The sequence below is a fragment of the Homo sapiens genome, chromosome 3 (genome assembly GCF_000001405.40).
Source record: "Homo sapiens chromosome 3, GRCh38.p14 Primary Assembly".
Lineage (NCBI taxonomy): Eukaryota > Metazoa > Chordata > Mammalia > Primates > Hominidae > Homo > Homo sapiens.
The window spans coordinates 105,815,181-105,841,612 of NC_000003.12; the positions used below are offsets into that span (position 1 = coordinate 105,815,181).

Genomic DNA, 26,432 nt, shown 5'->3' on the forward strand with positions numbered 1-26,432 from the left:
TAATTTAAGAACTCCTTCAGTGCAGATTGAGATTTAAATCTACAAAAAATGCTTTGTACACCTGTAGGTACCTACTCTTTATTGAATGAATGATAAAAATATCTTTGTTCTTTTAGAATGTAGTAGTGAAAGGAAAGACAAAAGCATCCGTTCTGTTCAAAGGATGATTAGCAAAAAACACAGGAAGAAAGGCTGTTAATGGCTTTATATTACAATGGAATATCAATGACAATTTCTATCAGTTCCAATGAAACTGAAAGAAATTTCATGATGTATCACTGGCCATTAGAGAAATGCAAATCAAAACCACAATGACATACCATCTCACGCCAGTTAGAATGGTGATCACTAAAAAGTCAGGAAAAAACAGATGCTGGAGACGATGTGGAAAAATAGGAATGCTTACACACTGTTGGTGGGAGTGTGAATTAGTTCAGCCATTGTGGAAGACAGTGTGGCGATTCCTCAAGGATATAGAACCAGAAATACCATTTGACCCCATAATCCCATTACTGGGTATATACCCAAAGGATTATAAATCATTCTACTATAAAGACACATGCACACATGTTTATTGCAGCACTATTCACAATGGCAAAGACTTGGAACCAACCCAAATGCCCATCAATGTTAGACTAGATAAAGAAAATGTGGCACATATACACCATGGAATACTATGCAGCCATAAAAAAGAATGAGTTCATGTCCTTTGCAGGGACATGGGTGAAGCTGGAAACCATCATTCTCAGCAAACTAACACAGGAAGAGAAAAGCAAAAAACCAAATACCGCATGTTCTCGCTCATAAGTGGGAGTTGAACAATGAGAACATATGGGCACAGGGAGGGGAACATCACACACTGGGGCCTGTCGGGAGGTAGGGGGCAAGGGGAGGGATAGCATTAGGAGAAATATCTAATGTAGATGATGGGTTGATGGGTGCAGTTAACCATCATGGCACATGCATACCTATGTAACAAACCTGCACATTCTGAACATGTATCCCAGAACTTAGTATATTTTTTAAAAAAGAAAAAAAAAATTGCATGATGTCATCTGATCTTGTTTTTCTCTTTGCAAAACCATGAAATTAGTAAAAATTAGTAAATTGACTGCCCTTATTAATTTTAAAAAACGAACAAATTGGCTGCTCCAAAATCACTTGAAACAAACGTGTCAACTAATTTTTTCTAAACCATTTAGAAAACTACTAAGCAGGCAATTTCAAATTTAGCACTTAAGCTATTCTTTCTTCAAAAGCTTGATTTTTGCAATGTTAAGCTCCTGGGTATACCTAAGGTTACAGGTACATTAACAGAACTCTCATAAATACTTCTCACTAATCCCTATGATAAGAAGTACATTTTTAAATAATAAAAGCACTCCAGAAAGTAGTTTACAAAAAAAGAGAAGCAAAATGCAGTATTTTTAGAACTACAGGAGTAAATAGTGCATAAAGTAAGTTCTACTTTACATGTTCATGTACACAGCTGTTCAACTAATATAAAGCTAAGTACTTTTTAAAAACAAAGTCTCTATTTGAAAGTTGAAGTATCACCTATTTAATCAATTAAATCAATCATCAACTTTACTGAGCACCAAAATATGGGCCCAGCACTGCTGCGGTGGATACCAAAAAGTATATGGTCTCTTATTAATGGAACCTACTTTTAATCTTTAGTGACAACTCCACCACAATTCTAAGTAATGTTTAAAAAAAAAAGGGTTTTTGATATATATACATCAGTATGCATGCTATTAAAAGTGAAGACAGGTTCAGCAAAAGGAGAAATCAGCAAGGTCTAAAGGCTTATGGAAGAGCTGGGACAGGAACTGGGTGTGTAGGATTCCAGATGAGTGGGAGAATTAGCATGACATGTTTTTAGAATTATGAAGGCATGAAAATGAGAAGAAGACAAGTCCGTAGTAGTGAGAAATAAGACGGCATATGTAAAATAAACCAGATTAAAAAGAAGATAATTAATCTTTTGCAAGAAAAGCAAATGCCCAGAAGAGGATTAAAGTGTTAAAGACTTCTCTAGCTTTAGCACATTGGGGAGCAAGATATTAGAAGGCCAGCCATTATCAGTAATCTTATCATGAGTAAGGGAAGGATGAAATAACACAGTTGCAAGAACAGGGGACAAGGAGGAGCAGCAAAGATTATTTTTAAGGGAGAGGAGATTCTAGGACTTGGGACTAACTGAAGATGGTAAATAGAAGAAAAGGATGAGTAGCCATGGGTGACTTGAAGCTTGAGGACACTAAAAGAAGCAGCCTTGGAGAATACCGGCATTTAGGAGGATGAGAACCCTACAAGAGGAATGCACATTAAGTAGTTCAGAAGAACCAAGACAGACGATGTCACTGAAAACTAGAGTAGTGAATATTCTAAAAAACTATCGGGAGATGCAACAGAGCCCAAGCCACTGAGTTGAACAATGAGGCCGAATGAGGCCTTACTTGAGCAAGTTCTGAAAACTGTAACATACCAAAGCTCATATCTAAGAAATAACTGAAGGCATTAGTTGTAAGAAAAGACAGTTGTGTATGCCACTAGTCTGGCAATAAAGGCAAGCAGAAAAGTGACTACTGTAAGTTTTCAGGTTAATGTGAGAAAGATGCTGGTATTTAATAAATATTTTGGGTATCCGAGGTGTTATATAAATACACGTAAAGCAAAGTACATCATCACAACCAACAAAAGCTAATTTGCATTATTAAGTTTTATGTCTTTCAATTTATTATTTTAAATCATGATGATGAAACTTGCTTCCTGGAATAAAACACACTAGTGAAAATAAACAATTTTTTTCCCAAAAGATGTAATTATATTATCTTGTTTAAAATTCTGGTTTCCAGAAATCCATGTGCTTTCCTTTAAATATGTCACAATAATATTAAAGTGGCTGTTTCAAAAACACCACAAATTTCATCAAAATTAATGAAAACTTATCCCAAAGAAACTTCTCAGAATGATTATTCCAAAGAATGGACACAAATAAATTTGTAATAATAAAATGTATTTATAGGTCTAATCATGTAAAATCGAATCCTAGACTTAAAAGCATCAAATTTAGCAAATAAGCTATTAATTTTAATGGCTCATCATCATTACCAATTGACATTTATGGAGATTATACATCCACACTGATAAAAAGAAGGCTTGAGACATAAAATCTCCAGGTACTTACAATACATTTAGGGCAACTAGAAGGACATTTAAAAAGTAATGAAATGGGGTTCATGTTAATAATATTCCCTACTGAAAGTACCAGAGCAATTTAAAAATAAGGCACAATGACTACATAGCTTCTTCACTTCAATAAAAATGCTAAGAAATTGCACTGAAATTTATGAAATTAAGGCAACTTAATTTACGTTAAAAACTCAAACTTACCAGCAAAAAAATCATGAATAATTTTTACTTTTTATAGTAAGTATATTATAATGCAACTGTATATTACCACTGAATCTAATGCAAATGCTGTTTACGTAACTCTAAACACAAGAGAAACCGCAAAAATTCTTTAAACAATAAATTAAATACGAAAAGCATACAGATGTTCAGAAAAATAGATTGTGAAGATTAGTTTTATGCAAAATTCTAAGAAGAGTATGCAGCTATTTTAACCTATTCTATTACTTTAAAACCTTTAGTAATTTATGAATATAGGATATAGAAAAATGAAAGTCTAGAGATTTAGATTAATTTGTAAAAAAAAATAAAATGGCTACATGAGGAAGCAAAACTATAGTGAAAAAGTTTGTTTCAACTCAACTATCCCTGACTTAACTTCATAATTGCATCTGTGAATCTGCAAATAGAACTTCTGCTTATGTATAGTTATACAATAACTCCATTCTGCTTCAAGCATACTTTGCAAAATGTTAGATATAACTTAAATCTAGCTTCATATATCAGTTAAATATAGTCAACAATGGTGAAAACACTTGAAGAGAAAAGTAAATATGAATATTTAAGTTGGAGCATAAATTAACAGATTCATCAAAACACATAATGAGGCCGGGTGCAGTGGCTCACGCCTGTAATCCCAGCACTTTGGGAGGCCAAGGGGGGTGGATCCCCTGAGGCAAGGAGTTCGAGACCAGCCTGGCCAACACTGTAAGACCCTGTCTCCAATAAAAATGCGAAAATTAGCCAGGCGTGGTGGCACATGCCTATAGTCTCAGCTACTCAGGAGGCTGAGGCAGGAGAATCACTTGAACCCAGGAGGAGGAAGTTGCAGTGAGCTGAGATTGTGCCACTGAACTCCAGCCTGGGCAACAGAGCAAGACTCCACCTCTCAAAAAAAAAAAAAGAAAGAAAGAAAAACCATAATGAAGGGAAAGTAAGATGTATAGAAACAATTCAATTTCTCCTCAAAAGTGACAAGTAGTATTTTGTTGTTTTGTTTTGTTTGTTTGTATCTTTGCTCTCATTTCTACAAATGTGATATCATCAGAACTTTGCAGGAATTGATAAGAAGCAAAATTCATTCAACGGACACCATGCTTCCTTTCAGTTGGACTCACTGTCTTACATAGAGAGTCTCAAACCATTCCAAAACTTCATTGATACACAATTTTCCTATTATTATATGGAAAAATATATTCCTAAAATGAAAATGTTATCTTTATACCTGTATGTGAAATCCCACTTACCCTACATGTGTTAGGGCAGCAGTCCCCAACTATTTTGGCACCAGAGACCGGTTTCATGGAAGACAATTTTTCCATGGACCAGGGGCATGGGGATGGTTTCAGGATGATCCAAGTGCACTACATTTATTGTGCACTTGATTTCTATTATTATTACATTGTAATATATAATGAAATAATTATACAACTTACCATAATGTAGAATCAGTGGGAACCCTGAACTTGTTTTCCTGAAACTAGATGGTCCCATCTGGGGGTGATGGGACACAGTGACAGATCATCAGGCACTAGATTCTCTTAAGGACAGCACAACCTAGATCCCTCACATGCACAGTTCACAATAGGGTTCACACTCCTATGAGAATCTAATGCCACCACTGAGCTGACAGGAGGCGGAGCCCAGGTGGTCATGTGAGCAATGTGGGGGCAGCTGTCAATACAGATGAAGCTGCCTTCATTCGCCCACCACTTGCTTCATGCTGTACGTCCAGTTCCTGATATCGGTATCGGTCTGTGGCCCAGGGGTTAAGGACCCCTGTGTTAGGGTTCAGAAAGAAGCAGCTAGCAGAAAGAATTTAAAATAGTAGAAGCAAGGTTCGGGGGCAGGGGGTAACATTTACTTAGAATCTAAGAAAATATTTGTAATGTGTAAATGAACAGTACAGCCAAGATATCAGAGCTCATGCTCAACAAAAGCAATTCTACTCTGCCACTCATTCCTTCTTTGTTCCTATAGTGACTAAGGAAAATAACTTGTCCCAGCTTAGAAAGAGTATCATTTGTTTTAAACCCCTCCCATAATTAAGTTGAATTAATTTTACACAAACACCAGATAAAAATGCAAAACCTCAAAGAGCACAGAAAGAAATTCTTCAGAATTTTTTTTAATTTTATACCCTAAAATCAAGAAAATGTATAAAAGAAAAACTAGACTGTGTACTACTTCTAGGAAATAAATAGAACTATTAGCCTGAATATTCATTTTGCTTAAAAAGTCCTAGGAAGTTCGTTCTCTATTTCTGTTTCTTCACTATTTTCTGTTCCTTTTTGTTCTTTACTCAAAATTTTAGTTTTATAAAAACTAAAAATTCAACATTTTAATGGAAATTTGTAAAATCTGGTTTAAAAAATATACCTTTTACCTATATCATTGAAGGTAGGATATAAAGTGATGGGTTGTGAGGTACCATAAGAGACAATGATCCCCAACACTTACATTTTTTATACAAATACAAAATAAGAAATAAACATCATATTGTTTCTGTTTTACCAAATTTATAGGATGAAGAAAATTGATCCATGTACTTGTTCTGTCCCTTACATCCAAAAACAAAATACATCCAAACACAACATAATTTACATACCTAGCTAACATTATTCTACAATCCTGGTCCTTTAAAGATCAGATATCTATATCTATATCTATCTATCTATCTATCTATCTATCTATCACCTACTATTCAAATGGTGATATAACTGCCTAAGAGATCCATAAATCTTTCAATGCCGAACAGTTCAAAGGCTTACACATTCACCTTCCTAAAAGCCAACTGCCAGAGCAAATGATCTAATCAGTCCTTTCTAGTCCTAAAATAGGTAGGAGCCCATCACACAAACCAGTCTATACAGTAAGTTAAAATTTCACAGTAAGGGTACAGGTTCACATAAACACTACTGCCAAAACAAAACAAAAAGAAATCTTTGCAGGGCAGGTAGAAAAAGAACCTGATTACAAAGGTCAGGGCTTTTCAGAAGTGCCAGTGCCAAATGCGCATTTGGACTTTCCTCTTTGAACACACAAGAAAGTACTGCAATCATCCAACCTATGACCCTGGCTTTCTCAAGATTGCCCGGGATTGAAATGTTTATAAAAACAAAAACAGGATTTTTGCTCACTGATTTGTCCTTTCTTCCTCAACTAATGTTTCACCATTTCATATCTTTACCCAACTTCTTTTCCCTCCTACCTCAGAGGAAGAAACAGCTTCTTATTTTCAAGGTCATGATTTCATCCCTTCTCACTTCTTCTCATAGTTCAAATATAAATGAACAGAGATGTGAAGTCTGCATCTGTGTGTATCTCTGCTTGCCTCAATGTTATGATACTAAACACATCTTTCTGCATCTTAACATTTTTTTTGCTTGTTCCATACCAGCACATATAAATGTGGCTCATTATATTTAAAAATGGAAATGTTTCATCATATGGATGTATAAGTTATTTAACCAATTGACACTATTATAAATAACTTATATTATTATTTATCATTATCTTTTATTCATCTGCAACTATAATATGAACATATATGGTGCACACACACACATATACAATGGCAGTGTTGAACCAATGTATCAACAAATTACACTTTTGAATGGGATAACATGTTTAAGTATTTATAAATGCAAGAGGCATAGAAAAGCTGCTCAAGGAAAGCTGGCTGAATGTGAAAGAAATAAAATGCCTTAATGGTTCTAAGGCCTTCTAGTCATCTAACACCTCTAAAAGCTCAGGTCCTATTCTCAGGATGAGCATTCTAACAGGCAAAGTTTCTATGTCTTTCCATGGCTGGTCAATTCTGGAACTAACCGGTACTCTCTATTTTGGGTATTATGAATTGGATCTCCCTCTTCTTTTGAAAGTGAACTAAAATAATGTTCCCACTCAGTTACATTTGCTGGGAGGTTATTATCTGTTCTAGCATACTCAGGGCCAAACTAAACAAACAAATCTAAAATGGAGTGAAGGGATAACACTAGGACCTTTTTAGATATGCATGGGAAAATCTGCCTCCCATTTAAATGGTCTTCAATCTACTCTACTACTCTTAGTACCCAAACAACTCTATCCATTTTGTTTCACTTTTCCATCTTGTGTTTTCTTTTAAAAGCTACATTTAATTAATGAACATATATTACTAATATTATTCACTTCTCACCCAGTAGCACTGTCTACAGAAGTGAATAATGGCCTTCAGGTACATCAGCATTTTCTGCTCTCTGTAACTTCACTGCTCCTTAAATCAAACAAACAAACATAGTTGCTTCCCCAGAATAGCATAGATTAGGCTCTCAAGCCTTGCCCTTCTCACAATACACCCTACCTTGTTGACATGCTATCTTTGTGCTGCTTTTGTTCCTGTTTATCGCTCAGAAAAGTACTTGTTTATAGAATCCGTTCAATGCCCTATTCATCCCTAGAAGTTAAGTGTGTTGAAATTAAAAGGCTCTGCTTGAATTTGATAAGTTAAATGACAGAGGACAGAAGGTTTAAACAGCTTTATCTTAGGCTCCTATAAAAAGGCCCTAAAATGCAAACATTGTCTCTGACATTCTTCCTGCTTCTACTGAAAATAGATGGCAAGCTTGAACTTCACTGAAACAGCTGTTTCTGTTAGGATCAGCGTCTCTGACAAATAAAACCACACAGAATGGGGTGGCCCTGAAACAGAAGGCTCCCTGGCCTAATCTCATAGATGCTTCTCTTGGAGACCTTCCATCCACACAACGTAGGGGAAGGGCGAGAAGGGATGGCTTCCCCTCCAGACTGAACCATTATTTCTCTTGCTATACCTGTCTCCCTTAGTGGTCACAGCAATTGAGCATATACATTTTCATATCACAAACTATTTTCACAACACTAGAAGAGAATCTTGAGTTCAAAATAATCAGTTTAAGAAACACATAGGAGATTCATATTATTTGGTTAGCTTAACCTACTTCCAAATCAATCATTCTATTCCAAATCCTCCTGACTGAGTCACCAGCACCCTTTGATAAACAACTTATTGCTTTGCTGCTGGTTACTCTTCCTACTGCTATGCAAGGTCTGAGTCATGTACCTCAGCAATCTTGACCTTTGAAAAAGAGGAGGCTTTTCTGTCTGGGCCACAATTATCATGTTTATTTCAAGTAGCAACTAATCTCTTGTGTTGAGCTCTTACTCGCCAGGGTCCATGAACTCTGCACCCAGAAATTCTCCATACCAGGGTACAAAGCACCTACATGGTTCTCTTGAGCTTCCATTCTTATAATGTCTCCATCACTCTCTTCCTTCTTAGGCCCTCAAACTCAACCCTACCAAGCTGACTCTGAATCTCCCCACTGTGTTCTATTTTATTCTTTAAAAGAATCCAAATAAACTCTGACATTTCTCCCTCACATTCTCACCTTTCCTACTTCACCCTTTTGAACTCATAGGTTCTCCAAAACTCCTCTGCTTTCCTAACTTTGGTCCCCATCATCAGTCCTCCTGAGTAGTGGGAATCCCAAACTTAAGCTTACTGGTGTTTTCTTCCTGAAGCCTCAGCATTCCCCAAACTCCAGGTTTATAAGCTGTCAAATCCACCTGAGCTCCTTCTGCAGTCCTGCTCACTCTTCAAGGATCCATGTAGGGTGGGGTCCTGATAAGAAAGACAAGTCACTACAGTCTGTCTTTACAGTACAATTGTAGGCCTAAAGGGCTCTGTAACATGTACTATTGGTGGAGACTGTTACCATGGATGCAAAGTCAAATCTTAAACACCTTCACCGCTTATGCTTGTAAAATGGACTACAGGCTAGTTTTTTGCCACCCAAGCAAGGCAACTTTAGTTAACAAATATGCACCTGGAACCTAAACCAAGTACCACATATTTCTGTCACGTAAGAGGACTGAATATCATAAACACAGCCTTAGGTCAGGAGGGCTGTGGAGTAGAGTCAGCCTGACTTTAGCGAATTGCAATCTCCCCACTCTGGGCCCCTTTCTTCTTTGTGCCCTTCCCTGATGCCTATCACATAACCCATTCCTATTCACAACTAAATTATAGTAATAACATCTTAAAATACGATTTTTATGCCAACTGTGGGATTCAAGGTGGCAGAAATGACAATTTGGAGAGGGAAGCTAACAGCTCAGCCTCATCTGGTGTCCCTGATGAGACAGCAAGGGCATTCACGAAAGGGGAGCCTCCTATACCCTTCCACTTCACTCCAGCCACTGAGAAGGAGACCTCATCATTCCACCTTCTCTTGTTTAGACTTAGACCTACTAAAAGAAACATATCCCCATTCTTTGCAAAAGTGTTAGGACATGAGAGAGCCATATACACAATCCTAGAGTGTAATCAGAAGAGTACCTAGAGCGTTACTATAAAGGCATCTCTCCTTTTCTCTCCTCCTATCCTAGATTATTCCTCTTTATAGGATTTATCACTAACTGAAATTATAGCATGTTTGTATATGCTGATTTCCTTGTGGTCTACCTTCTCCATCACAGCGTCTGCTCCATGAGGACTGCATCTAGGTTATTCACTACTAAATCCTTTGTGTCTCAAACAAGGTTGGCACACTGAGAGCCTGTAACATATACTAGTGGGATGAAAAAAAGAAATCAATCATGTCATGGTTCTTCAGCTAATGCCATATCAGATATTGTGCAAGAATTTAGAACCAGAGTGGGATAACTATCTCCTTAAACCTATCTTCCACTCCAAATTCCCATCTCCTTGTTTCCTCCGACTCTCAGATAGTGAGAAAAAGGAGGACCTGGGATGGAAAGAGAAAGAAGAGAAGGGGGGAAAGGAAGCGGAGAGGAAAGTAAAAAAACATTCAAAGCAAAATGTAAAAACTGTTTAGTTTTCCTGATATTTTATGTTCACTCTCTAATCCATATAGGAGAGGAGTCAGGCTCAGTAACTCATAATTGTCCTCTGTGACTACAGCAGTGCCAGGACAGAGTAGGCGCTCAACAAATATCACTGAAGGAACTGATGAATAAATAAATTAATGAATAAAAATTTGAGACTACAGTAGATTAACAATAGCAGATTTTACTGCCATGTATCTCTTGCCTCAGCTTTTAGAGTAAAAACAACTCCTCATTAAATTGTTTTAAAGGTACAAAGTGCTTTGCCATTAGTTGAAATTTTTGTCTGCTTTTGCCTGACTCTTCCTGATGAAAACATATAAAGGCTTGAATACAAAATAGCATGATATCACTATCACAGACTAATGTTAAGCATTCATTTTCCAGTACAATAAACAATGTACCAAAGATCGACCCCAATTTTTATACTCGTATTTCATTTCAAATCAGAACAGCATTTTTGAGAGTATTTTAATGACATACAAATTCCTAAAAATTAAACAAAATGAATTAGTAGATTAAATTCTTGAAAAGATAGCTTCAACTAAGCTCCTTAACAACAATTTCCTTGACTTTTGAAATTTAACGTCAAGCACACTGGAGTTTGAAATGGCTCCAGCATGACACGGCTCCAGCATGACAGCATGACATGGATCCAGCATGTCCCCAATTTTGTTTATGGGGACTCAAGTTAATTGTACAACTCATGTAGTGCTACAAAATAGTAGATACTTCAAAATAATCCATTAGCTTCTTGATCAGAGAAACGAACATACAAATATTTACCACATACACAAAATGCTCTATTAAGTCATTCATAAAGAAGTAATAAAACCATATAACAAGGCAGTATAAAACATGATCTCCATTTTGAAAAAAGATAAAATATTAAACAAGACATGCTATCCTAGAAACACTTTAGCTTTTTGGTATAAAATCCAACAAATTTCTTACTCCACTCTCCAGTCTTTGCCGTCAGACAAACTATATTAGACTAATCATTCATGTGCATTTTAAATGGTGCCACTTCACTGCTTAAGAATGCACAATGGTTTCTCGACAGCTTTTGTAAGATCAAATCTATATTCTTTAGCCCTCCATTATTTTGCCCCCAACTTCCATTCACCCTTTCATCCTCTTGTACCATTCTCTCAAATACTCTTCATAATATAAAGACTTACACTGACATCTACAAGGATGTACCTGCTGCTGGGGTCAGAAGATTGTGGAAGCCTTGGCAGAAAAGGCTTCTGAACATAAACAGAAAAGCAATGATACACATGATGCAAATGCACCCAGAAAATCCCATTACTGCTCCCAGGACCAGGAGACAGGGGATGTGGTATTAGAGGATTTTCTATGTTGGTATGAAAGGAAATGTTCCCTCAACTTTCTCATTCATATATAAAATGAATTTTAAAAAATAAATGAATCCCAGGCAAGAAAGACTATGTGTGTTCACTCCCTGGTTTTCTTCAAAATGCAAGATGCGTGGTATTTACATACACTTACAGCTATGCATAATGAATGTGATGGAATTTATTAGCACAGCCACAAATACAGGGCTTTGAAAGGAAACCAAGAGTAGGACATGAATTGTTCCTGTAATATAATATGGCGCTCCTTTCAATTTTTCCCCACCTAGAGCTTCACACATAGTTTACAACGATTCTGGCAAAGGTAGGGTATTTCAACACAATGAAACATAACTAAATAACTTGGAACCAAATGCTGTCATTCAGTGAAGCTATATTCCATCCCCAGAGTAAATGACGTAAGTAACCTTCTGGACTGAAAATGACAAACCAAACAATGCTTTCTGAAAATTTCTCATTCATCATTATGAAACTTTTTTTTTCCCTCGTACCCATCTCCCACACAGAAGTTGGTTCCCATAACACTCACAATTTCTTGTAAGTGTTATTACTTAGTCTAAAAGGTTGCAAAGCACAGGGCATTTTTCCATCCATTACAATATAAACTCATAAACTCCCCAAGCAAGTAACTGAATTTTACCAGTGTGTATGTGTGTGTGTGTGTGTTCAGAAGTAACGCCAGGAACCTGGTCTCTGTTAAGGTCCTTAAACTCCCATGGACTGGCCAGGGAGCACTTTACCAGCACTGGCCCAGACATTAGCCAAAGGCAGAAAGGGGAGGGAAAGACATGAGGGAGGAAGACAAAGAAAGGGAGGCAAAGCAGACACAAAAATTTAAGACAGGAAATTTAGATTATCAAGAGACAGCACTCTGTTTACGCCTCAAATGGGTCATACATCTAACAGTTACAGATAGTCACAAAATGGTTTAATACTGAATAACTGTAATATAAAAGCAGTATTAGCATGAATCCAGTGGTTGCTCTGAAAACAAGATATAGTTAATAATGTTTTATTTCACATGAAAATGCCTTCACATATTATGCAAATTTGAAACTTAAACCTCAAAAAAACACAGCAGAAATGGTGAATTCTGTCAGCATGGTAATGTATTTTATACACAGTTTTGGCTAAGTGTGACAGAATAATACTATCTGATGCTGATGTTTATTTCCTTCTCGCCTAAGCAAAGCAGCTCTAGTCTATGGAGAAGTCAAGGACTTAGGCTCCTTCTCCCATCCCTGTTCCATCACCCTCCTTCACATGGTTGAGATGACTCATAACCCTGTTCACATTCTAGCCAGCAGGGAGCAGGAAAAAGGGGAATGAGCGGGCATGTGGCTTCCCTTTAAGGGCATGATCTAGAAGCTGCACAGCTCACTTCTACTCACATCCAATTCATCAAAACTTGCTCACAGGGCCACATCAGCAACATGTGAACCCAGGAAATGCTATCTTTACTATGGATGGATAACAATGGGGAAATATATAATGATAGGAAAGGGACAAAATGGATTTTGGAGGCAATTAGCAATCTTTAATACAGATGTCAAAGGAAACGACAAAACAATTTTCATTAAATATTAAATGCTGTTTCACTGAGTGGACTAAACTAAGTTAGAATAAGATTTTTAATTTTTGTCTTTTCTTAAAGGAGAAAATATTAAGATAGACGCCAAAATACTTGAAAGTTAAGATTATATGAAATACTAAACATTTTCTAAACTAACAAAATAAGTATCTTTTCAAATTTTAGTTCCACACATTTTTTTAGCATAAAATAGAAAAGAAATAAATATGCACTAATAAGTTTAAATAATTTCACTCTTGACCCTAGGGCAAAATACTATCTTTCCTTGAGTCATATATTTGTAAGAGAGATGATTATACATAAAATATAAACTGAAATAATTTTACAAATAAACTTTATTTTTCAAACACAACCTACTCGATTTTAACAAGAAACTGTAGGTCTAAGGAGCTCAGCCCTGAGTCCAGAAAGGTCAAAGGAAGTTTTATACAACGTTCTCTTGGGACATTTCATGACATCACCTACAAAGACAGTTCAAGAAGGTGAGAAAACATTTTAACCACAGTGGAACAGAAGCTTCTAGGGAACCTCTATACCACATTTCTAGACCAGAATATTTAACATATATAATTTGCCACAATTCTTTTTAAGTTACAGTCTTTCTTCTTCCTAAATACAAAAAAAAAAAAATTCATTAACAATCAATTTTGTTTTTTTAATCCCCTGTCCTCCCATGTAATGAATGCTGATGAGATCCTGAAATATTCCCCAAAGTAATGAAAAAAAATTAAAAATGCCCAGTTCATATAGCTCCTAAAATATGCCTCCTTTTAGGAAATACAAGTTACTTTTCTAATCTGGTTTTGTAGCTTATGAAAAAAATAAACATTCTTGAATACACAGGTAAAATAAACGTAACGAATACTGTTTGTCTTTCCATAAAGATGTTTTGTCACAGTAAAGGCAAGAAGATCAACTCTCACACACAAAACTGCAGCTATCAGCTGGGTGTGGTGACTCATGCCTGTGATCTTGACGCTTTGGGAGGCCAAGGCAGGAGAAATGCCTGAGCCCAGGAGTTCAAGACCAGCCTAGGCAACATGGCGAGACCCTGTCTCTACAAAAAATTTAAAAATCAGCCAGGCATAGTGGCATGTACCTGTAGTCCCACCTACTTGGGAGCCTACTTGGAGACTGAGGCAGGAGGATGGCTCAACCTAGTAAGTACAGGCTGCAGTGAGCTGTGTTCATGCCACCACACCATAGCCAGAGCGACACAGCAAGACCGTCCCAAAAAAAAAAAAAAAAAAAAAAAAAAAAAAAAAAACCAAACTGCAGCTATCTTCATAATAATGGAGGAAGATTTCTTCCAAAATCAAATTTTTCTATTTTTCTTCTACATTATTATACTTTTGAAACATTTCTTTATATTTCTAGTTAATTATCCTACTGCAAGAGAAATTCTTGCTATTGAAAGCCATGATAAGAAGTGTAAATCATCTATTACATATATTTGAAGTGGTATCTTCAAATAGTTTTAATTTAAGGGGATATCTCATTTCATATGTAATTAGTCAGCACATGTATAAACCCAAGGATCCCAACTGTCAGATGTATTTTATTTGCTTCCCTTTTCACTAGAATTCTTACTCTGGGGAATTCCAATGCCTTAGGTGTTATAAATGAGAACAAAGAAGAAGGAGTGATGCAGAGTTATCACACTTTCTACCTCCTCCCCTGCCCCTGCCCCAGTAATGCATTGCTGCCAACATCAAAACATCTTGGAAGGCTGTCCAGGGTATCGTTACCTTACAAATCCCCATGAACCATGATGAGAAAAGCCTACTATTAATAAATAAATAAAGCCACGTAATAGGTGTCCAAAATTGCCTAATAAGATTGCCCATTGTTTATATGACAGACATTTAGATCCTTGTACTCTGTACTTAATTTCCTACCAGAAGCAATATTTCCTATCAAAGACTTTTCCTTTGTTGTATGTAATAATTTCCCCTGACTCAGCACTATAAGGATCTGAATGTTTTTCTTCTGTTACAGGAAGCGTTGGTAACCCGGATACAGAATCAATCTTATAAAGCATCATATAACAAGAAAGATCAGTCAGACTTAGTCATGAAAGACAGGAGCCAGATTAAAAACTAGGTATTTTTTGTTGTTGTCTTAAAAGACCAATTTCTGTATCTAAAAGTTTGTTTCCAATAAATAAGTAAATAATTTACAGTCTAATATTAAGTTGTAAAGTTTAAAAACAGTAAAAATCTGTTTATATAATTTCAGAAACAGAGCCATTATCAAGTAAGAAAGTAAGACACATGCCATGTAATGGAAAGCTTATCTAAAGAGTAGCCTAATGTGAAGTACAATGTCTACTTCTCCTTCAATTAAAGCACAATGAACCAAAAACCACCAAATTTATGTCAAACTCTGTTCTCAAAAGTTGGTCAATTCATTCATTCAGATATTAACTGATTGCACATTGTCCATATAGCATGTAGTCTAGTGTAAATATAAAACATGGGAAGCACCAAAATTATAATTCAGTGACACCAAACTTCTAAGTGACTAGAACTTAGCTGAGGAGACACGGCTGACATGAAATATCCAAAATGCAAAACCTTGTCATTTAAATACGAAATTGCATGGTAACCAGAGTAACTTCCTTTCTTGTTTTATTTTTTCTGATATATACTTCCCCCAAACCAGACCATACACATAACCATGTTCATGGTTGAAAAATCAGAAGAGCAGAAGAGAAAAAGTGTAAAAATGAAAACACAATCCTTCAATTCCTCCACTCCTGAGATATCCAGCACCAAAGAACCACAATACAATATGCTTTCACATATTGTATTCTAAGCTAGGCGTATACTCCCATTCCTTTAAAATATCTTCCATGACATCTTTTCCTGCCTGTATCTCCTACCTGAGCATTAGCTTGGGGAATAGCTCAAATACATTTCCCCATTGAAAGGATGGGGATCTCCAGGTGGGCTCAGACCGCCAGGCGGGCTCAAATGCCATCCTCCGTGATTCCTGAAAATTGTGAGCTTCCCTCAAGTAGAAATGAGAACCTGAAGCATCAAGATAGAACTGTCTCTACACCACCAACTACAATGTTCTGACAAAAAGTAAAAGCTAAAAAATGCTCAAGTTCTAGCACTTGATTATTCAGAAAATGCTTCAAGAATGAGAACTTCAATTATACTTTGAAAGACAGTTAAAATTTGTTGGGGGAGAAAATAAATCATCAGAAAATATTCACAATACTAACTGTGACAACCTATTTGATAGGATGGTCAAAAAAGACCCATCTAAGGAGGTGATATTTATGCTTAGATCTTTATCCCTCCCCTGAAAATATGTAGAATCAAAAGAAAAACTTTTCAGGAAGGCAAAGCAATTTGAGGAGGCAACAAGTAGAACATACCTCAGAACTGAAATTAGACAAGTGAGGCTGAAGTTTAAATGTTATTCAAGAGTAAGCAAGAAAGTCACACATTATGTTTTTTAAATTATTTCCAATTAAGGGAACCAAATAAAAATACACAGAGGGATACTGAACAGTTAAGAAAAGAAGGTTGCAGCCAAAATGCTAGTCAAAGTAGTTTCAGGTTGATACAACAGGAAATTTTAAAAAAAAATTTAATTATATTAAATAGAGCTGGCATAATATAATTATTAAAGCAATGGATGAAAATTCTTTAAAGAAGGTATAAGGTAATGCCCGAATACTACTCACCTATTTGATGAAAACAGATGTGTACCATAAAAAGATTCCCATATACAATATACGACCCATATACAACTAAGAAACTACCCCAACAGCACCTCTGTTATAGCAATTTTGAAATTTTAATGTCCACTAAGAAGAAAATATAACATGAATCAGGATAAATAACAAACATCAGGTTCCAATTATGTGCTTCTCAGTAAAACTTTTAAATATGCTAATCTTCAGCAGTTAATGGACAACAAATAACGTGGAAAGTGGTTTTACTTGTAACTCTGATACTTCAGTTATATACAAAAACAGATTCTAGATGCTGATTCTAATTATGGATCAGCAGGCAAAAGAATGATGCATGTGGCTGTAAGACCCTTTTCATCCTTTTTAAAATGTCACATGAAAATACAATCCACAGCTGATTAAAATAAATACCTCTCAACCATACCAGATTGACAGGTCCAGCTTAAGTTTCTCTGGCTTTATCACTATTAAATTTCTTTTTCCATCTCCAGAAAGAAAACAAAACTGAACAAAACAAAAACGAACCATCAAAGCTCTTGTCCATATAAAGGTCTAACAATGCCTGCCAAGTTTTATGGTGCTCACTAAATAGGATGTAGCTCAAGATGAGTGCATTATCTATCCTTCATTCCTTCAATCTGTATTGAGTACCTACACCGTGTTGGAAATGAAGTAGGCACTGTGGTGACAGTGGTGAAGAAAACGAAGAAACAGAAACTGTGACAAGTACTGGAAAGAACACAGCAGAATACCATGAGATAAAATAATGTGTCAAAACATTTAATGATCACTCAGGGAAGGCCTCTCTGAGGAAATGACATTTAAGTTATGATACGAAAGATGTGTTAGGTAGTTGGAAAAAAATCAGGCACATGAAGCCTCAGATGTGGAGGTCCTAAAGGCCTGAAAAACTGAAAAATGATGTGAGTGGATAAAGAAGGAAGACCTGAGGGAGAGTGTCGTGAAATGAATCTAGAAAGGTAGATGATGAAGAAATATGAATGATAAACCCTTCATATGAGTAAATAATGCTTTTTGTCTTATTACTTCTCTAGGTTATAGCCATCGCAGTTTCCATTCATTCTGATCATATAATCTTGAATAATGAGAATGAATTTGAAGACTAGCAAATATTGCAACTCATTCTGTAGCAAATAATTACAACTCATTCTGCATGATTCTGAAGAACATTCCAGAATCCTGCTTCAGGCAGAATAGTGAAGGCAGAACAAATATCTCTCTCTGAGACAGACAGGCTTATTAATTTCTATGATCAGTTAAAACTAAAGACAAAATTAGAAACTTTATTGTAAAACAAAAACTAGGAACTTTTACTTTTTTTTTACAACTCATTTGGCTTTCAAAGCGACACTCAGCAAGATATTTTCTCTTGCTGCTTGCAACCAGTTTTGTTTTCTGAATAAGAAATGCTGTTAGTATTTATTTTCAGTACTTAGGGGTATTATAAATATAAATGAGTTTAATTCTGGTTTGAAAAGAACTCACATTCTTGGGTATATTCCTTATAATTTGAATAATTTTATTATTAATGGAAATTTCTAAAATTAAATATACTTTTATTTTACATCATTTAACATCAATAATAATCTAGATTAGATCTGTTTTGAAATCTTGGAACAACACAAATTTTAAAATGAAAATTCCAAACTTTATATAAGTTTCCTCTGAGACATTTAAACAATCACTGAAGACCAGTATCCTAAGGGAATTAGAACCTGATAATTAAGTAAAACCTTTCGTTTTAAAAAAAAAAATTTGAGAGTAACTATTTTTCCAGACCTTAAGGTTGTCAGGTCCAGAATTAACTTGCCCTCTGAAAAAATCTCTACCTAGCCCATTTTACTATTAATATATTTTTTAACTGCAAAAAAGACAATTAATTCAACAACCTTAAAAAATATATCAATCACAATTTCCTGGGGTGGGGGTGGGCAGTTGAGGCAGTGGATGAAGAGCTATTGGTCAAAGGATACGAAATTTCAGTTAGACCGGAGACATAAGTTCAAGAGGTTAACAATGTACTGTATATTGAAAATTGCTAAGAGGGTATATTTTAAATGTTCTCACCAGTTAAAAAAGAAAAAAAGTAAGTATGGGAAGTAATGGCTATGTTAATTAGCTTGATTTAGCCATTCCACAATGTATACATATACAGAAACATCATGTAGTACAACCATAAATGTATTTGTCATTTTTAAATAAAGAAATAGGGCTGGACACGGTAGCTCATGCCTGTAATCCCAGCACTTTGGGAGGCCGAGGCGGGTGGATCACGAGGTCAGGAGATGGAGACCATCCTGGCTAACACGGTGAAACCCCGTCTCTACTAAAAATACAAAAAATTAGCCGGGCGTGGTGGCAGGCACCTGTAGTCCCAGCTACTCAGGAGGCTGAGGCAGGAGAATGGCATGAACCAGGGAGGCGGAGCTTGCAGTGAGACAAGATTGCGCCACTGCACTCCAGCCTGAGCGACAGAGCAAAACTCCATCTCAAAAAAGAAAAGAAAATCAAGTAAGCAAGCAAGCATGACAGAAGTCAAAATCAAAAACAAAATCTTCCCCACTATACATAAATGAACTCAAGTATTCAGAAACAAAATATGAAGGACTAGGTTAAACTCCGACAATAAGAGCACAGATTTATCATAGGGAAGATGTGCCCTGCTTTTACCTTGCTGTATCACAAGATACCCTATATTCTTCAGAAATGCTGCAGTCTCAAAGGAAAAGATCATCCATGGGACACTTTATTGGAAGCTTTTCTTGTTTACCAATTAAACTATGACTTCATGTTATCACAACGCTGACAAGGTGTACAAACTATGTAACATTTTGCAACTACAGGACAGTCTGCCTTTCACATATCACTTATTAATCTCCATGAACTATTAGCATCAGCCATTTTTCAAGGCTCTTTATCTTCATTTTAACTGCAAAAAGGAATTGCTTTTTCCAGGTTCTTGAGGATTCTTTTCATTGGTGAAAAGCGGCATGTAATGTTACAAAGAATAACCCAAAAAAAGCTTTCAGTTATGAATGTATTTTCCTATATCATGAATAGTTCTAAAAACGAGCTTCAGTTTGAAAAGAGTAACTTTGAAGTCAGATTTCTCAGAAATCTTTTTGTGAAAACTGAACAACTGGATGTTGAATGATGTGTAAAACTACTATCTCACAGTGAAGGAAATGTCCAGGGAAGCTGTGGGAAATTAGAAATGATCACCATAAAGAAAAATGAACACCAGTTTAGTAGGAAGGAGAAGGGAAGACATCAGGAGAAATATTTAAATCTTTAATTCAACCAACTTGATACTGAAGCCCAACTTAGAAATTTAAAATAGTATGATTTAAAATTAAACAGAAAAATTATTTTACTCTAAGTCACACTGAAACCCAGTAAAATGTTTACACTCTTAAAAATACAACCTACTAGCTCCAGATTAACTAATTGCAGTGGATTGCTAACATATTAAAATACTTGGTGTACATTCTGCTTCTTTCTAAGCTTCAATGACCTGCAGTAAATTGAAAGCTTCCTAAAATAACATCTAATTAAAATTCTTGACAGCAGTTTGAGATTGCAGTACAGCAAATAAAGTCCTGCTCTCACCTTGTTTACTTGCCATCTGTCTCTCTTTTAAATGTCAAGTACCAAACATGCTACAAGAATTCCAGTTATTTAGGCTTTCCAGTTATTTTAATCCCACATAAATGACAGTTTACAATAAATGCATACAAAGAAGGATTAAACTTGATGCTGGAATGATGCCACACATACAGTAGAGGAAGTAAATAAAGAATAGTTACATAATGGAATGTTATCTGGTACACAATACATCTACACTGATCTTCCAATATAAAGGTTACCTCGAGTGATTAGAGGTAAACACTGCTTGCCTTTTGTGCCTCACCTCTAAAGCTTTACTTCACAACCTTAATTAATCTCTTGATAAAGATGTGGGAAGACCACCATGTTACACAACTCTCAGAGGTACCACTTCTCTTAAGAAATAGTAAAAAGGTTATGACAGCTCTGTCTAGTACACCTTTCCTTCACTAATGGTTTCTGAAATCAAAAGATCCTCTCAATGAAGTCCAGCAGCCCCATCCTCTCTTTCTAACACGCTTACCTGGATCAAAATAATTTAGCATAGTTATCTGTGTCTAACATGATCTCCCAGGAAATGAAGTGTGGATTTGGGAGTGTCCTCAATCTTGCTATAATAAATAAAAATTAAATTTAATTGTGTAAGAACTATCCAGATAAATTTTAAAAAGTAATTCAAGGAGGTTCCCAAATTAGTCTGGGGACATACCATGAGCACCCCGCAGAGGCAATATGAAACAGGAGTTTATCTTAGGGCTGGGTTTTGACCTCCAGAGTTATAAGAAAAGAAAAACTATTTCACAAATATTTACGGGCAAGTTTCGGAACCACAGTATGGCCTGAGAAATAGGGCAAATATGACGGTTTCTTACATGAAGGGATCATGGCCAACTAAAATGGTAAAGCTGAGATTACTGACATCCCACACTAGTTAACTTACAAAAACACACAAAACCACCCCCACCCTTGGTCTAGTGAGTCAAAACAAACTGCTGACAAACCCTAACAGCTATGTGAGGGGGCGCAACGATAATACACAGTGAGAACACACATGCCTCTGTTTTCCTGTCAAGTCTAAGTCTGCATGGTGGATGTAAGAAAACAGCAATTCCTTTCTTTAAAAGCCCTGCCTACATATTCAAAATATCTCAGATGTCCCTCAAAGCTGATATGCTCACATCAAAACAAAACAAGACCAAAAAAAAAAAAAAATCATTTATAGCAAGAATATTAGATCCAACCCTCCGACCTTTACTTTAAAAGGAAAGAAAAAGAGATAGCAGTTAAGCAATACATAAATACAAAATAGCCTTAGCTAAAATTTAAAAACTAGTTTTCAAGTTTGGAAATCTTCATCCGTATTAAGGAATTCCGTCAACAAGGACACAAGACAATTCCCACAATAAGACTTAAAAAACATTGTGCACGCGTATTAATGCACTGCCTCAAGAGTCCTGAATAATATAACAACCATCTGCTGCACAGCAAGCTATAAAGAGGATGAAGCACTTCTGTCAATAATACATACCAAATGAAACTGGACTATTCATGTCGAAAGCATAGATTTTTGGAGGATTCCCCAGTTGCCGAAAAGTCCTGTGTATTCAGGGTCATAAGTACAACACATCACAGAAACAAAAACAGTCTTTGAAGAAATGTTAATATAAGAATAAGAGGAAGTGAAAACACTCATTGGAGCTCAGATACAGAACTAATAAGTCAATAAGAAAGCTATGCAATATGCTCATTGCTTTGAGTAGTTTGTGAGAGTAGGCAGAATGATGTGAATTTTTTAGGAATTTATCTTACAGGTACTAAGTGTAGCTACAAGGACACTCCATTAAAGAAGTACTTGTAAACTGTAGTAATTTCATGAACTTTGTCCAAGAATGTTATTACAGTAAAGCTATTTTGAGAATACATACAGTTAAGAGTTGCTTTGAAATATATTTATAATTAAAACATAAATAATAATGATATTACTATCCTTATAAGCATTTTCTTTTCTTCTAAAATCGCCAGTACTCATTCCCAAATGTGAAGAAGCTGACATTCAGAGTGTACCTACAAATTCTAAAAACAAGCCTTCAGACACTTCAACACTTTCCATTGTAACATCTCTCTTCTGCCTCCCTCCAGGCCCCAGCAGCTCGTAATCTAGGAATACATCAGGATTTTCAAATCATCCTATAGTAATTCTAAAGAAATAACCATATATTATTATGAGTGTTTGCCAAGTATAAAGCACTGTTCTGGATACCATGGGAGACACAGAAGAGACATAGCCTATTACCTTTTTTTTTCCTTTTTTTCTTTTTTTTTTTTTTTCTGAGACACGTTCTCACTCTGTCACCCAGGCTGGAGTGCAGCGCCATGACCTCAGCTCACAGTAGCCTCAACCTCCTTGGCTCAAGCAATCTCACCCATTTCAGCCTCCAGAGTAGCTGGGACCACAGGCATGGGCCAACACACCTGGCTATTTTTTTTTTTTTTTTTTTTTTTTTTTTGTAGAGATGGGGTCTCTCTGTTACCCAGGCTCCTAACACCATTTTAAAAAGATAACAATATTTGACAATATATCATTAACTGCCACATGAAAGGCCTTGATAAATGCTATGGTCAGAAGGAAAAGACACATTTTAGCTAGAATGATCAGAAAATCAGAGCCAAGATGGGCATGGGGATAGAGTGGGAATGTTAGCTATGCCAGTAATAAGAAAGAATATCTGCATAAACTGGAAATAGGAAAGGGAGGAGAAAGGGGCAGGATAAAAGGCTGGCAAGCAAAGGTAAATTCCAAGGATAGTGATTAGGCTAATCTCAGAAAAACATAAGAAGAGAATTGCAATCCATCTTTTCCAACAAAACTTTAAAAACCTTACAGAAATGTATCCTTCTTTTTTTTTTTTTTTTTCTGTCGCCAGGCTGGAGTGTAGTAGTGTGAACTCGGCTCACTGCAATCTCCACCTACCAGGTTCAAGCCATTCTCCTGCCTCAGCCTCCTGATTACAGGCGCATGCCACCACACCCAGCTAATTTTTGCATTTTTAGTAGAGACAGGGTTTCACCATGTTGGCCAGGATGGTCTTGATCTCCTGACCTCTCAAAGTGCTGGGATTACAGGCATGAGCCATCACGCCCGGCCCCCTCTTCTAAGTGACTCGAGACTGGAAGTGGATTCCTCTGGTAGTATAAAGGAAGCTTAGTAAAATGAAAGGAGTTCTGAACACATCCAGGATTCCATCCCCACCTGTGCCACCTCAATAGTCCTTGATAAGATTATACATAAAAGGAGATAATTTGACTCATGTGGATTCTGAAAGCAGACAGAAGGTCAGAAACTGCTAGGGCACTCTTTACCAATATATGTGCAGATCCCAACTGGTAAATTTAGCAGGCATTATATAAAGGCTGGCAATCTGTATTTAATAATCATTTCAGAGGATTAGAATGCATCTGATCCATGGAAAATGCAGGAAAGCCACTAGATTAAATGCTTGTCAGACATTAGTGGCATATCTTGTGTTAAAAACAAAAACAAAAAAGGCCTAAATTTATTATGTTTTAAAATGATTATATACATCAGAATATTGAGACAAGATAGGAAATGTTAGTTTCATAGGTCTATAGCTATCAGTCATTGACTACCTACCATTTTTTTTGCCTTTAGAAGATCACAATGGTAATTCACAAAGAACTGCTGGCAGAGATAGGGTAGAGAAGAAAGCGACAAAAAGAAAAAAGTATTTAAGTTTAAAAATGCCAAGTTTTTAAGACTGTTATGAAAATGATATCAGTAATGCAGGAATCAGCAAACATTTGCAGTAAAGGCCCAGAGAGTAAAAGTTTTCAGCTCTGCAGGCCAGATAGTCTCTATGGAACTACTTACCTCTGCCATTGTAGCCACAGACAGTAAGTAAATAAATGAGCATGGCTCCGCCATTGAAAATTTACTCACAGAAGGAAATACAACCTGGATTAGGCTCACAGTCTGTAGTTTGCCAAGTGTTGATATAATGGGGAAAAAAGTATTGTGATAAATTATCAACTTCAAAGTTTCAGTTGCTTTATCAAAAAGTATTTTTTACATATGCAATTGTAATGAGAACAAACTAAAATTAGTATTAAAGAGGAAAAAATTCACACAAAATGTGGTAAGGAGAATTTGCTTTAAGACTTTATCCATGCAAACCTATTTTAATCAGGTAAATGAGACCCAGCTGACCAGGATGGAAATCTTTAGTTAAATGAAAATTTTCTGAAATCTCTGGAAAAAAGAATAAAATTGACAGCTCCACATACTTCATAGAAAATCAGTATGCCCTACAAAAACCTTCAGAACAAAACGCGAAGGGTTTTCAGCATCTGTAAAATGAGCTGAGATGCTTTATCATTAATATAGTTCAGAAAAAACTAGGTAATCTTTCTTACTTCCTTTTTAAAAATCTGTGCCCATCAAGACAAATTAAATGCTTAAAAAGTTACAAGTAATATTTCACACATGTATATACATAAACAGAGTGAGAAAGGAAGAGATATTTACAGAAAAAGGTATACTTGAAAAATAAAGCTTTAAATAGTCTTTCTGAATTTAATGAATACAAGCATCGTGTTAGAAAAAAAAAAAAGTTGCATCGACTGACCAGATGACATACAATATTAATTCTGGTTTAATGAAGAGAAAAAACAACAGTTCATTTTCACAACCATAAAATGTGCTAATTGTTCAAATGAGTCCTCCCGAAACAAAGTTGAAAAAGGCATTATAATTCTGATACCCTTCATATGCCAACAGCTGTAGGCTCAGACATGCCAACTGGTAACGAAACTTCATTTAGAAATATATCACACATGAATATTACATGCACACCCCAGTGTGTCAAGTCATGTAACCTCCAATCTATTTAGCTTCTCCACACAGGAAAATGGAATTGGACTACCTGGTGCTCATCTCTGAGGTTTAGACACTGATAACAAAGATAAACAATATCATTCTTATATCACATAATTTCAACCTTCCTTACCTACTGAAACCAATTATTTGGGTCTAAACCTAAAGTTACAGTAGTCAAAGTTGAAAAGTGAATGAAGTATTACTCAAGAAAAAAAAAAAAAGAAGAAAATATAATCGTCTTCTCTTTTAAAGGATAATGAGCTTGAAATGAAAAGTCTTTGTAAAACTGTTCCTTCTTTAATTATTAAAGTTTTTTTTCTAATATGCAAACAAGAATAAAAAATGTAGGCCAAGCACAGTGGCTCATGCCTGTAAGCCCAGCACTTTGGGAGGCCGAGGTGGGCAGATCACCTAAGGTCAGGAGTTTGAGACCAGTCTGGCCAACATGGTGAAACCCTATCTCTACAAAAATACAAAAACAATTAGCTCTGCATGGTGACGTGCATCTGTAGTCCCAGCTACTTGGGAAGCTGAGGCAGAAGAATCGCTTGAACCTGGGAGGCGGAGGTTGCAGTGAGCCGAGATCGTGCCACTGCACTCCAGCCTGGGCAACAGAGCAAGACTTCATTTCAAAAAAAAAAAAAAAGGAATTAAAAATGTTCACACCACAAAGTTTCCACAGTTGTTCTGGAGATCACATTATTTCACATATATGTGAGATTTCTAATATACATATTAGATATATCAAATACATAATTTGTTATATATATTAAAATGGCAGAAACCAAGATATATATATATTTTTTGAGACGGGGTCTCACTGTATTGCCCAGGCTGGAGTGCAGTGGTGTGATCTCGGCTCACTGCAAGCTCCGCCTCCCGGATTCACGCCATTCTCCTGCCTCAGCCTCCCGAGTAGCTGGGACTACAGGCACCCGCCACCACGCC

The 26,432-nt window shown here is 36.1% G+C and overlaps 1 protein-coding gene across 43 annotated transcripts in view, besides 1 other annotated feature; it reads right to left on the reverse strand.

Annotated features, from left to right (window-relative positions):
- The window catches only part of CBLB (Cbl proto-oncogene B), a 213,989-nt gene that overhangs the window by 159,720 nt on the left and 27,837 nt on the right, over nucleotides 1-26,432 (reverse strand). The window contains exon 4 of one of the 43 annotated variants that reach the window (NR_135807.2): nucleotides 24,243-24,290. The exons of 39 other annotated variants lie outside the window; for them this stretch is intronic. The gene's annotated coding sequence lies outside the window, so the exon portion shown is untranslated. Of the gene's footprint in view, nucleotides 1-8,942; nucleotides 9,062-24,242; nucleotides 24,291-26,432 lie in introns of those variants that run through there. 3 more of the 43 variants (NM_001321813.1, XM_047449116.1, XM_047449115.1) reach the window with 3 other exon arrangements.
- Nucleotides 13,774-13,823: a silencer, noted in NCBI's record as "silent region_14582". NCBI's record gives its function as "represses an Ori minimal core promoter by ATAC-STARR-seq in GM12878 lymphoblastoid cells {active_cell/tissue: GM12878}" and the evidence as "EXISTENCE:reporter gene assay evidence [ECO:0000049][PMID:35858748]".